The sequence below is a fragment of the Homo sapiens genome, chromosome 15, assembly GCF_000001405.40.
Source record: "Homo sapiens chromosome 15, GRCh38.p14 Primary Assembly".
Lineage (NCBI taxonomy): Eukaryota > Metazoa > Chordata > Mammalia > Primates > Hominidae > Homo > Homo sapiens.
The window spans coordinates 25,376,332-25,391,110 of NC_000015.10; the positions used below are offsets into that span (position 1 = coordinate 25,376,332).

General features: G+C 36.0%; 1 protein-coding gene and 1 long non-coding RNA gene across 50 annotated transcripts in view; one reads left to right on the top strand and one right to left on the bottom strand.

Annotated features, from left to right (window-relative positions):
• SNHG14 (small nucleolar RNA host gene 14) overlaps positions 1–14,779 on the top strand; it is a 595,855-nt gene that overhangs the window by 552,724 nt on the left and 28,352 nt on the right. The gene's annotated exons all lie outside the window — the stretch shown is intronic.
• UBE3A (ubiquitin protein ligase E3A) overlaps positions 1–14,779 on the bottom strand; it is a 105,329-nt gene that overhangs the window by 42,604 nt on the left and 47,946 nt on the right. The gene's annotated exons all lie outside the window — the stretch shown is intronic.

Here is a 14,779-nt window from a genome sequence, read left to right on the forward strand (position 1 = left end):
TAGTGTTACACTGAAAGAAAGCGGCTGCAGCCTGAGTGAGGCAGATCATGACTGTAATCAATCCCATAACTGTGGGAGGCTGAGGCAGGCCGACTACTTGAGCCCAGGAGGTCAACACCAGCCTGGGCAACATAGTGAGGCTACTCTCTACAAACTTTTTTAAAAAAAATTAGCCAAGTGTGGTGGCATGCACCTGTAGTCCCAGCTACTTGGGAGGCTGAGGATCACTTGAGCCTGAGAGTCAAGGCTGCCATAAGCTGAAATTGCACCACTGCACTCCAGCCTGGGCAACAGAGCTAGACTTTGTCTCAAAAACAAACAAACAAACAAAAACCAAAAAGAAAAAGAAAAAGAGGCTCCAAAGTGTAGAATCTTAAATCTAAAACTTGTCACTAAACCTCCTCATTAGTTCCACGTCACAAGATGGAATATTTTAAGTTCCATCACGTGAAATCTTATATTCCTTTTACTCTGTCAACTTAAAGTACACAGATTAATGTCCTATTATGGCTGTTTCAGGAGAGCTACCAAAACTGAGGGAGGAATTATGTGACCATGTAAGAAGTTAGATGACATTATATTCAACACTAAAGAGTCTATGCTTCTACTAACTGATAAAATTACCATAATTTCAGTAGAATAAACTACTGGATCCAAAGAAACATAAGTCATAGCCATTCCTTTTGGTCCCAAATTCACAAGCATGGAAATAACAACTACAAAGAATCAAAATTATAAGAAAAATAGTTCAGCTGATTTTCAAAACATTCACAGAATTATCTAACATGTAGGACTAGATGACCAATGCCAGAGTTTACATCTTGCTAATCATGAGAAACTCAACAATTAACAAGGCAGCAAGTAAGTGAAGAAACACACGAGATCCAATTTTGTCTCAACAGAAGAACTTTCACTCTCTGTCCAGGTAGGTGACAAAAAGTGATAATTCACACACATTCAATTCATTCTGGTGCTTATTTTTCAAATGTTCCATGCAAATTTACCACTCACTGCATGCAAACAGAGAAAAAAGAAAACCCACAAAGCACATGTAAAAATTGCATAAACATGACTTAAAGACATTTTGCTATCTATGAAGCTATAAACCCCACCTGAAAATTAAAAACTGTTATCACAGATTTAGCACTATGCAAAATATGAAAGTGAAAACATGTAAAAATAAAATGGAAATGCAGAATCTAGAAAATTTAAAATATATATTGCTACCCTTCAGTAAAGAAAGGGAGATAATGTCATGTTCTCCCAAACTACAGTGACTTCCCTGGTGAAAATGTAAGTAGGTATTTCCTTTCTGGAGGAAAACAGTGAACATGTATCGAAAGTCTTAAAAACACGAATACCGTGTGAATGAGATCCTACTTGTGGAAAATAATTTGACAATTTTACAAAAATGCATTGTTTCTATATCTGAAAAAAACATGTCTAATAAAAGATTACTTAAATGAACTGATAATAGGTCACACAATAAAATAAAAACTATCAAGATTTGAATTCGACAAAGAACTGCCTAGTCTTCCTGATATATCACTAACTGACAAAAGTCAGTTAAAAAGTAGCAGGTGTAGGATGAACCCATTGTTATTTCAAAGCATTAATAGCATTTTCTCTGGATGATGTGATTAAGTGAGTTTTAAAACTTCTTCCATCTTTTGATTTCTTATTTATTCTTTCCATAGTAAGGATGCTACTTGCATATTAAAAATTAATAACTATAAGGGGAAAACAATAGCAGTTATAAAACTTCATATACATGATTTGAATGGCCCCGAGATTTACTAAATTGTCTCTGATTTTTAAAAAAATTACAAAAGTCAAAATACCAAAATAGATATTTTTAATGTGAGCTTTTATACTAAAATAACCTCCCCAAAACTTGTCAGATACATAGTACTTCTTTATATACTACATAGGAGGAGAGTGATCAGCACAAACAGAACGAGACTGAAAAATCAGAAGATCTGCATTAAGTGTCATCCTTCTGTCCCTAAGCAGCTGTAGGATCCTAGGGAAACAATTGTCTGGGCCTCAGTTTTCCCAGCTTTATGAGTCCCTTCAGTTCTAATTTTAAAGTTATTTTATGTAATAGGGAGGTGAGCAAGAAACTAGTATTTGCTGGATGCCTGATAACTTATTACACACACTGCGGGGCACTTTGACATGGGTTATCTCATTTGAATACCATGACATTGAGGATTATCTTCAGTCCACAGCCAAAGAGAGAAATAGAACTGGAGTCAAATCACGAAACCAAGATCTCAAAGAAAGTACAGAACCAAGACAAGAATAGGAGTCCAGGAGTCTTTCAGCTTCAGAGTCTAAGTCATTTTGACTATATTGTTTTGCAGAAGGTGATTCATTTCAAAATAATTATTTTTTAACATGAGTAATACTGAAGAATTCTATGGAAAAAAATCTCATAACTAATGTGCAACTGGGAAAAAAATCTGAAGAATCATAACGTGAACCTCACATTTATGCATCTATCTGGTACCACAAAGGCAGACCAAGTTTCTTGAGGAAATGGAACCACTATATTCTGCAAAGTTAATTTCTCTCTAATTTGTTGAGGACCTATGTGCTATGCATTTTATAGACATTCCCACTTTAGAGGGGAATAAACCTTAACAGTTAAGAGCTCGCATTCTGAGGCCAGATGCCCAAGTTCACATAATGGCTCTACCTCTTAATTAACTATGTGACCCTGAATGAATTACTTGATCTTTCTGGACGTAAGTTTCCTCGTAATTTAAATGGTAGTATCTACGAGCATTATCATGGTGAGAGTATTATTCTTCTTCACATTACCAATTGTGAGAAAATTAAATGTGTTAATATATATAAAGTGCTTAGAACATTGCCTGGCACATACTAAGCACTATGAAAGTGTTAGCTACTACTATTATTGTTGTAATTGTTACTATCACCCTCACAAGTGTATGAGTTAGCACTATAAACCTTCATTCTGCTGATGCTCAGAGAAATTACATAAGTCATACATCTAATAAGAGATTTGAACTCAGCTACTAAACTTGAGCTTTTAATAACTATTAAGAGGAGGATCTGAAAGTAGCCCTCTATATTTGATCTGCCTTTCTGTGCCAAGTTTAACAAATAGCAGCTACACTGATGAGACAGGACTAAAGGAAGCCATGCCAGAACCTCCAAGTTAATGGTGGAATCAACTATATTAAGCATTCTTCTTTTTTCCTCACTCCAATGACACCTTAATTTATCTGACCTCATCTGCATCACTATCTAATTTAGGATATGTAAAAGGCATACAAAATTTAGAGCACATAAAAGGGCCTCTACGTTGGAAAAGTATACACTAATAACGACTTTTTGGTATAGTTCCTGCGCAAGGGAAATCCTTGTACCATATGGGTCACCAAATCATAGCTCGTAAGTCAAATCGAGTCCACCACCTGTTTATGTCTCTCAAGCTTAGAATATTTTACATTTTTAAATGGCTGGAAAAAGTTTGAAAAATAATAATAGTTTGTAACGTGAAAATTATAAGAAATTCAAGTTCCAGTATCCATCAAGTGTACTGGAACATACCCAAGTTCATTGATTTATAAATATACTATATATGATAATGCTTTGGCTCTGTGTCCCCACCCAAATCTCATCTTGAATTGTACTCCCATAATTCTCATGTGTTGTAGGAGTGACCCCCTGGGAGATAATCTGAATCATGGGGGCAGTTTCCCACATGCTGTTCTTGTGGTAGTAAGTCTCACGAGATCTGATGGTTTTATCAGGGGTTTCCGCTTTTGCATCCTTCTCATTTTCTCTTGTCACTGCCATGCAAGAAGTGTCTTTCACCTTTCGCCATGATTCTGAAGCCTTCCCAGCCATGTGGAAGTGTAAGTCCAATTAAACTTCTTTTTTTTTTCCCAGTCTCAGGTACGTCTTTATCAGCAGCGTGAAAAAGGACTAATACAATATACTATATAGTTTATGGCTGTTTTTCATACTACAATGGCAGAGTTGAGTACTTTAGGCCTGCAAAACCTAAAACAAATACCACCTGCCCTTTACAGAAAATGTTTGCCAACCCTTAGTTTAGGATCTATTATTTATCTCTGCCCTCCAGTGACCCTGCCATCTAATCATTTGGCCTCTTAACTCTCTCTTTACCCTGAGCAAATCCGTAAAATAAAAGGTATACCTTTCCCCAAGTACTATTAAAGAAAAGAAGAGGAGAGGGGAAAAGGGAAAAAGGGGAAAAGAAAGTGAGGAAAGGGAGAGGATGCAAAAGAAAAAGAAGGAAAGAAAGGAATTTCCCTGATGAGATCCCTTAGTAATACCTTATCAGCTGTTCATAATCAAAATTCCTAGAAGAGGAACAACAGCTTACTTGCTATAATTTCTTCACATTCCATTGACTTTTCTTATTACTCAAAAAACAAAGTATGTTATAATGTGTTGATTTTTAAAATAAAACAAACTTTTCTTATTTAGTCAGCAATGAAGGTCAAGTGAGACCTTCTAGTAAAAGTCCTCTAAAGTCAGACACATGAAAATACTTATCCATTTAAAACAGACAATACTTTCCAATTATTTATTTCTATGATTGAATTAATGGGACAGTGCTACAAACAGAAGTCCTATGGAATAAGTCATACTTGGAAGATCAGAGTTTACTCTAGACAACTTGACAGCAATCAGTTTAAAAATGGTTTCACCTAGAGGGATGTGTACTAATGTTAGCAATTAACTTTGAAAGGCATAAAAATTAAGATGGATTGATGGATACAAGGATGGTTATACGATAAAGCAATGTAAGTATTAATGGCAGAATCTAGGTGGCAGGCATATGTGTGTCAGCTGTAAAATTTGTGTTCAATGTTTTTTTAGTTCCCACATATCAGTGAGAACATGTGATATCTGTCTTTCCGTGTCTGGCTTAGTTCACTAAAAAAATGAATTTACAAGACAACTGGAATATAAGCAATGAATACAAGCACTAAGAAGATGAAGCCATAGAAACAGCTGCCAGAAAGTGAAGATGTGACAGTGAACGCCAAACAAGTAAGATTAGAATTACAATTAGAATCAGAAATGACAAAAAAGAAACATGAACTGTGAGATGCAATATAAAAACTAATGGTGAACAAAGCAAAGAATAAAAAATAAAAACGGAAAGATTAAAAGGAAAATGTGACTGTAAGTAGAGTGACCTTTATATTATACAGAAGGTAAAGCAGAATGAACATGTGAGGAATCTAAAAAACAGATATAAAATAGAAACAACTGAAGGCTTATATAATTAGTCTATAAAGCTAGGAACCACTGCTTAGTAATTTCTCGTAAGTGGAGTCTCTTTGTTCTGAGACGTTGCAAAACTCCATTCCATCTCAAAGTTATTTTTAATGTTAAAATTTGTAAGAGTGAGCAACGGTATCCTAAATAGTTCTAGGCCTTGTAGAAATAGACTGTAAGAGACATCTGTGACACAACTATATTCAGTATGATGTAGGGTCTGTTACAATGGGATGAAGTGAATTTAGATTATTTCAAGACTAAACCTACAATTGTGAACTCATTAGTACCATGAACCGAACAAAAACCTATTAAATATAGAACAAGACGATTTTCATGAAAAAATAAATATGAACAAATCAGTATTTTCAGTTGTTTGAAATATAGGTTAACCTTCAATTACTGTTTTATGGCCGGGTGCAGTGGCTCACGCCACGCCTCTAATCCCAGCACTTTGGGAGGCCGAGGCAGGCGGATCATGAGGTCAGGAGATCGAGACCATCCTGGCTAACATGGTGAAACTACGTCCCTACTAAAAATACAAAAAAAAATTAGCTGGGCGCCGTGGTGGGCGCCTATAGTCCCAGCTACTTGGGAGGCTGATGCAGAAGAATGGCATGAACCCGGGAGGCGGAGCTTGCAGTGAGCCGAGACAGAGCCACTGCACTGTGGCCTGGGCAAAAGAGCGAGACTCTGTCTCAAAAAAAAAAAAGAAAAGAAAAGAACTGTTTTTTTCATTTTTATAGTCTCAATATCCAGAATGCGTGATATATGATAAAAAAAAAAGTAAAATTGTAGAACTAAATATTTACATAATTCATCTGTAAAATGAAAATCTGTTTTACAGTGTCATATTTCACAGTTAGAAAGGAAGAAAAACCTTAAATCAACAAATTAACTTTACATCTTATGGAATTAGGAAATGAAGAACAAATGAGACTCAAACTTACCAAAAAATAAAAAAAATAAAAATAAATTACAGCTAAAATAAAATAGAGAAAAATAGAAAATTTTTGCAATAGAAAAAAAATCAACAAAATTAGGAGTAGCTGTTTTATTGAAAAGATCAACAAAACTGGCAAATTCTTAGATTAAGAAATGAAGAGAATAGACACAAACAGCAACAACTGGAAATTAGAAAGGCGATACAACAACTGCTGCCACAGAAATAAATAGGACCTTAAAAGACTAATATGAACAACTATGACCCAAAAAAATTTGATAACCTTTGAGAACGGATAGACACATCAAACCCACCAAGACTGAGCCACAAATACATACAACTTCTGAATGGACCTATAACTATTAGAGATTGAATCAGTAACTGTCCAACAACGCCAGGGCTTCACTGAAAACTCTACCAAACATTTAAAAACTAACAACCCTTCTCAAACTCTTTGAAAAAACTAGAGGACAGAACACTTTCAAAATCATTTTATGAGGTAAGCATTACTTAGATATCGAAATCAGACAAATTTACAAGAAAAAAGAATCCCTAATAAATACTGATGCAAAAAAAATCAACAAAATACCAAGAAACAGAATTCAACAATGCATTAAAAAGATTATATTTCATAAATTCTCAACTGGAATTTATTCATAAAATCCAAGGATGGTTCAACATACAAAAAAATCACTTTAATACACTGCATTCTTAGGACAAAAACCAATAATCTCAACTGACTCAGAAGAAGCATTTGACAAAAATCAACACCCTTTTAGGATTTAAAAAAAGGCCAGACAGGGTGGCTCATGCCTGTAATCCCAGCACTTTAGAAGGGCAAGGTGGGTGGATCACCTGAGGTCAGGAGTGTGAGACCAGCCTGGCCAACACAGTGAAACCCTGTCTCTACTAAAAATACAAAAACTAATCGGGCATGGTGGTGGGCGCCTGTAATTCCAGCTACTCGGGAGGCTGAGGCAGGACAATCACTTGAGAACCCGGGAGGCGGAGCTGGCAGTGAGGTGAGATAGCATCATTGCACTCCAGCCTGGGTGACAAGAGCAAGATTCTGTCTCAAAAAAACAAAAACAAAAACGCTCAATTCGCTAGAAAGATATGGAAATTACTTCAACATAATGAAGGCCATATATAGAAAGACCACAGCTAATGTTATTCAATGATGAAAAACTGAAAGTTTTCCCTCTAAGATCACAAATGGAACAAGAATGCACACATTCACCACTTCTATTCAACATACTGTTAGACATCCTGCCAGAGTTAGCAACTGGGCAAGAAAAAGAAATGAAAGGTATTAAATGAGAAAAGTAAGAAGTAAAATTACTTCTGTTAGCAAATGACATGATCTTTTATGTTGAAAACTCTAGCCTACCAAAAAGAAAAAAAACCGTTAGAATAAAGGAATTCAGTAAAGTTACAGGATATAAAAACCAATATTAAGAAAAGAGTTGCATTTCTAAATACTAAAAATGAAGAATCCAAAAAGGAAATTAATTTTTTAAACCCATTTAAAATGAAATCAAAGAGTAAAAAATACTTAGGGAATATTTTCACCAAGCAAATGAAAGACATGTACATTGAAAATTAAACAACATAGGCCGGACGTGGTGGCTCACGCCTGTAACCCCAGCAGTTTGGGAGGCCAAGGTGGGCTGATCACGAGGTCAAGAGATTGAGACCATCCTGGCCAACATGGTGAAACCCTGTCTCTACTAAAAATACAAAATAAATTAGCTGGGCTTGGTGGCGCGCGCCTGTAATCCCAGCCACTCGGGAGGCTGAGGCAGGAGTTGTCACTTGAATTTGGGAGGCAGAGGTGCAGTGAGCCAAGATCACGCCACTCTACTCCAGCCTGGTGACAGAGTGAGACTCTGTCTCAAAAAAAAAAAAAAAAGAAAAAGAAAATTATACAACAATGCTGAAAGAAATTAAAGACAATACAAATAAATGGAAAGACATCCAAGTTTATGAATTGGAAGATTTAGTACTGTTAAGATGGCAATACTACCCAAAGCAATCTGCAAATTCAAAGCAATCCCTATCAAAATCCCAATGGCATTTTCTACAGAAACAGAAAAAAAAAATCTTAAAATTAATACAGAATCTTGAAGGACCCTGAATAGCCGTAACAATCTGGACAAAAAACAAAGCTAGAGGCCTCACATTCCCTGATTTCTAAAGATATTGCAAAGCTATAGTAATCAAAACACTATGGTGCTGGCATAAAGACAGATATACAGACCAAGTGAGCAGAAGAGAGAACACAGAAATAGGGAAAAGAGGTTCTTCAACAAACTGTATTGGGAAATCTGGAATCTAACATGCAAAAGAATGAAGTTGGAGCCTTATCTCACACCATATACAAAGATGAACTCAAGCTGGATTACAGACCTAAACTTAAAACATCGAATTATAAAACTACTACAAGAAAACATGGAGAAAAAGCTTCATGACATTGGACTTGGCAATGATTTCTTGAATAGATCACCAAAAGCACAAGCAACCAAAGCAAAAATAGACAAACTGGGGATACATAAACTCAAAAATTTCTACAAAGCAAACAGTAAATGGAGTAAAATGGCAACCTACAAAACAGGAGAAAATATTTCTATACCATGTATCTGTTATTTGGTTAATATCCAGAATATATAAATAACTCCTACAATTCAACAACAAAAAATCTAGTTAAAAAGTGGACAAAGGACTTGAATAGTCATTTTTCCAAAGAATATATACAAATGGGCAATAAGCCCATGAAAAGATTCTCACCATCACTGATCAGTAGGGAGAAATGTCAATTAAAACTGCAATGATACATCATCTGAAACCATTAGGATGGCCACCATTAAAAAAACAGAAAATAAGTATTGGTGAAGATATGGAGAAACTGGAACCCTTATGCACCACTGGTGAAAATGTAAAATGGTGCCAGGCACTGTGGAAAACAACATGAAGGTCCCTCAAAAAATTTGAAATAGAATTACCTCCAGTTCCACATATGAAGAGCTTGGAAGTCACCACTCCATCCTAACAACAAGTAAAAAATGACAAACTTAAAAATAAACAAATCTGAGATAGGATAAGTGAGGTCACAGGGCAAATGACTGCCTGTGAGAGCAGAGAACAGGTGAACACATAGCATCACCATTTATCTGAGATGAAAAACACAAGCAGAAACCTCCACGGGGTAGGAAATCCTGAAGTGTAATAGACAAATTGATGAAGGCTCAGTGTGGACAACTCTGAAAGCTAAAAACTCCAGAGTTACCCAATTATAGGGGGAGCCCTACAATTTTCTAAGTTTTACATCCAGGCAATTGACCAGCTTCTCACAGTAAATATAGGAGAAAAATCCTCAACCCTCAGCAGGGGAGGCAAAGAGAAATGATTTTCAAGTACACTAGACTATTCCAGTCTTAACAAGGTTTGTCCTCAGGAGAAACTAGTTAACCAGAGCCTAACCTGCTGGGGTTGTAGCAAAGCCAAAATGATGTGGGGGAAGAGAAATAACCCAACTTCAGGCCATTATAGCTATCTTGTTCTAACTAAGGGAATGAGGGAGGGGTGGGATTGAGAAACACTTGTGAAGTTCACAGTCCAGAGGCATAAGCTCACTAAAAAGACTGACCTAATCATAAGACTACAGAACTCTTCTCCTCTCCCTACACCTTACAACCACATTACTAAATGCTCATTTACAACAGTTCCTTTTACCTAGTACATCATGTCCAAGCTATCAAGAAAAAAATTACAGGGCATAATAAAAGGTAAAAAACAAGCACCAGGACCAGATACAGCAGGGATTTGGAATTATCAAACTTGGAATCTAAAACAACTATGATTAATATGCTAAGGGCCCTAACGAACTGAGTAAACAACATGTTAAAAAAGTAGAGATGAAAATCCTAAGAACCAAAAGGAAGTGCTAGAGATAAAACACAAACAAAAACAAAAAACAGAACACTGTAAGAGAAATGAAGAATGCCTTTGATGGGCTTATTAGTAGGCTGGGCATGGATGAAGAATCTCTGAGCTTGAAAATATGCCAAAAAACTACATCTGGGCATAAAACGTTGTAATTACAGAAATTCAAGGATAAGAAAAAAATCCGAAGTAAGCCAGAGGGAAAAAATCACCTTACCTGTAGAGGAAAAAAAGAAAAAAAAGAAAAAATACATGTGACTTCCAACAAGAAAAAGAGTGAAATATTCATAGTGTTGAGAGAAAAAAAAACCATAAACCTAGCACTCTACCTTGTGAGATTATTATTCAAAAGTTAAAAAGAAACACTTTCTCAGACAAAAATTAAGGAAATTTGTTGTCAGTACACCTGCCTTGCAATAAGTGTTGGGAAGTTCAGAAACTGAAATCTACATATATAGAGCATCAAAAGAAGGAAACACTGAAAGTAAAATAAAACCTTTTATTTTTCTTATACTTAATTGATCTAACAAATAAGAATTTGTTCAAAATAATGTCAACAATTGTGCTTATGCATACAAATGCTCCTAAACTTACTTATTGGGTTGTGTCCCAATACCATTATAAATTGAAAATATCATGAAAACACAACTTATCCAAATTTGTGGGATACAGTGAAAGCAGCGCTTAGAAAGAAACATACAACACTGATGCATTTATTAGAAAAGAATTATCTAGGCCGGGCGCTGTGGCTCACGCCTGTAATCCCAGCACTTTGGGAGGCTGAGGCGGGTGGATCACATGGTCAGGAGATCAAGACCATCCTGGCTAACACAGTGAAACCCCGTCTCTACTAAAAATACAAAAAAATTAGCCACACGTGGTGGCAGGCGCCTGTAGTCCCAGCTACTTGGGAGGCTGAGGCAAGAGAATGGCGTGAACCCGGGAGGCGGAGCTTGCGGTGAGCCGAGATCGAGCCACTGCACTCCAGCCTGGGCGACAAAGCGAGACTCCATCTCAAAAAAAAAAGAAAAGAAAAGAATGATCTAAAAATCAATTATCTGAGCTACCAACTTATGAAACTAGAAAAAGCAAATTAAATCCAAATAGAAGTAATAAAAATTAGAGCAGAAATCAATGAAATTGAAAACAAGATATCAATAGAGAAAAATCAAAGAAATCAACTAGTTCTCTGAAAAGATCAATAAAATCAATAAGCCTCTAGCCAGGCTAAGAAAAAGAGACAAAGGACAAAATAACTAATATCAGAATGAAAAGAGTGGACATCATTACAGATCTCATGGACATTAAAAGGATAATCAAGGGATATTATGAACAACTTTACGGCCACGAATTTGGTAACCTAGATGAAATGAATCAATTCCTTAAAAGACACAATCTATTAGAACTCTAAGAAGAAATAATCTTGATTAAAAAGCATATATTAAAGAAATTAAATCCATAATTAATAATGTTCTAAAAGAGAAGGCATCAGGCCCAGATGGATTCTCTGATGAATTCTACTAAACATTTAAGGAAGAAACCACACCAGTTCTCTACAATCTCCTTCAGAAGACAGAAGCAAAGGAGATGCTCCTATCTCATTGTATGAAGTCAGCATTACTCTAATACCCAAACCAGACAAAGACATTATCAGAAAAGAAAACTACAGACCCATATTTGTCATGAACAAAGATGCAAAAATCTTTGTATTAGCAAAGTATTAGCAAACTAAATTTTACTACAATGTATAAAAAGAAGTATACACCAGCACAAAGTAGGATTTATCCCAGGTATGCAAGACTGGTTCAATATTGGAAAATCAATTAATGCAATTCACCATATCAACAGACTAAAGAAGAAAAATCACATGACCATACCATAGATGGAGAGAAGTATGTGACAAAATTTAACACCCACTCATGATAGAAACTAGTAAACTAGGAATAGAGGGAACACCTTCAACTTGATAAAGAACGTTTACAAAAAACATACAGCTAACACCATCCTTAATGATGAGAAACTAGAAACTTTCTTACTAAGATCAGGAACAAGAAAAGAATATCCCCACCTCACCACTCCATACTGGAAGTCCTAGCTAAGACAAGAAAAGGAAATAAAGGGTATACTAACGGGGAACAAAAAAATACAACTGCCTTTGTTTGCAGATGAAATGACTATATGTGTAGAACATAGACAGGAATTGAAAAAAAGAAAAAGAAAAACAACAAAAACCTCCTAGAACTAATAAGTGATTATAGCAAAGCTGCAGGATACAAGGTTCATATAAAAAAGTTAATAGCTTTCCTGTAAACCAGCAATGCATAAGTTGAATTTGAAATTAAAAACACAATACCATTTTACATTAGCGTGTCCCAAAATGAAATATTTAAGTACAGATCTAACAAAATTAGTACAAGATATATGAGGAAAAATGTTTTAGAACTCTGATGAAAGAAATCAAATAACTAAATAATGAAGAGCTATTCCATGACCCGTGAGAGACAACTCAATATTGACAGAAAAAGTCAGATGGACACTACTGATTTCAAGATTTACTGTAAAGCTACAGTAGTCAAGATGGTGTGGTACTGACAAAAGAACTGACAAAACAGACCAACGAAACAGAATAGAGAGCCCAGAAATGGACCCACATAGTCAAAGGAGCAATGGCAGTATTTGACAAAGAGGCAAAGGCAATACAATGAAGAAAATAGTCTTTTTCAATAAACAGTGGTAATAACTGAACATCCACATGCAAAAAAAAAAAGAGTCTAGACACAGGTCTTACACCCTTCACAAAAATAAACTCAAAATAAACCAGAGAATTAAATGTAAAACTCAAAACTATAAAACTCCTAGAGGATAACATAAGAAAAAATCTAGATCTTGGGTTTGGTGATGACTTTTAGATACGGCACCAAAGGTACCAACCATGAAGAAAAGAACTGATAAGCCAGACTTCATTAAAATTGTCTACTTGTTTCTTAAAAATTGTTGTCTTTTGCAAAAGACAATGTCAAGAGTATGAAAAGACAAGCCACAGATAGGGAGGAAATATTTACATAAGACACATCTGATAAAGAACTATTAACTAAAATGTGTAAGGAGGCTGGGTGTGGTGGCTCACATCCCAGCACTTTGGGAGGCCAAGGTGGGTGGATCACCTGAGGTCAGGAGGTCGAGACCAGCCTGGCTAACATAGTGAAACCCCGTGTCTACTAAAAATACAAAAATTAGCCAGGTGTGGTGGTGCACGGGTATAATCCCAGCTACTCGGGAGGCTGACGCAGGAGAATCACTTGAACCCAGGTGGCAGAGGTTGCAGGGAGCCAAGACTGTGCCACTGTACTGCAACCTGGGTGACAGAGCGAGGCTCTGTCTCAACAGACAGACAGACAGACAGACAAGACAGACAGAGACAGTGTAAGGAACTCTTAAAATTCCACAAGAAAACAAACAACCCAATTAAAAAATTGGCCAACAACCTTAACAGACACCTCACCAAAGATATACAGATGGCAATTCAGCATATGAAAAGATGTCCCACACATCATATGGCATCAGAGAAACACAAATTAAAATTATAAGATACCTCTACACACCTATCAGAATGGACAAAATTCAGAACACTGATAACACCAAATACTGGTGAAGATGTAGAGCAAAAGAAACACTCACTCATTGCTGGTGAAAAATGTAAAAGGATAGCGTCATATTAGAAGACAGTTTGGATGTTTCCTACAAAACTAAACACTTTTACCATAAGATCCAGCAATTGCACTCCCTAGTATTTACAGAAAGTCGCTGAAAACCTAAGTCCACACAAAAACCTGCACACCGATATCTACAGCAGTTTTATTCATAATTAGCAAAATGTGGAAGCAACCACAATGTCCTTCATTAGGTGAATATTCATTCACAAACTGTGATATGTCCAGAAAATGGAAAAAGAGAGGTACTAACAACCTATGAAAAGACATGGAAGAAACTTTAATGCATATTAGTAAGTAAAAATAGTCAAGCTGAAAGGGCTATATACTGTATGATTACAAGTATATAATATGCTGGAAAAGGCAAAGTTAGAGACACAGTAAAAGGATCGGTGATTGCCAAGGAGTGGGAGGGAAGGAAAGATAAATAGGCAGAACACAGAGGATTTTGGGGCAGTGAAAACATTCTGTATGATATAATGGTAGATACATGTCATTGTACTTTGTTCAAAGCCACAGAACGTACAGCACTAAGAATGATCCCTAATATAAACTACGGACTTTGGGTAATTATGATGTATCAATATAGGTTCATCAGAAAGACATGTACCACTCTGGTGGGAGATGCACACTGGCTATGAGAGAATCCATACATGTGTGTGGAAGGAGGTACAGGGGAAATCTCTGTACCTTCCTCTCAATTCTGTGAACCTAGAACTCCTGTAAAAAAAAAAAAAATCTAAAAAAAAATAGAATACATATGATCCAGTAATCCTACACCTGGGTATACTTCCAAATATATTAAAAACAGGTTCTCAAAAAAATATTTGTATACCCATGTTTATTTCAACATTACAATATTCAAGAAGTGGAAGGAACCTAAACATCCATCAAC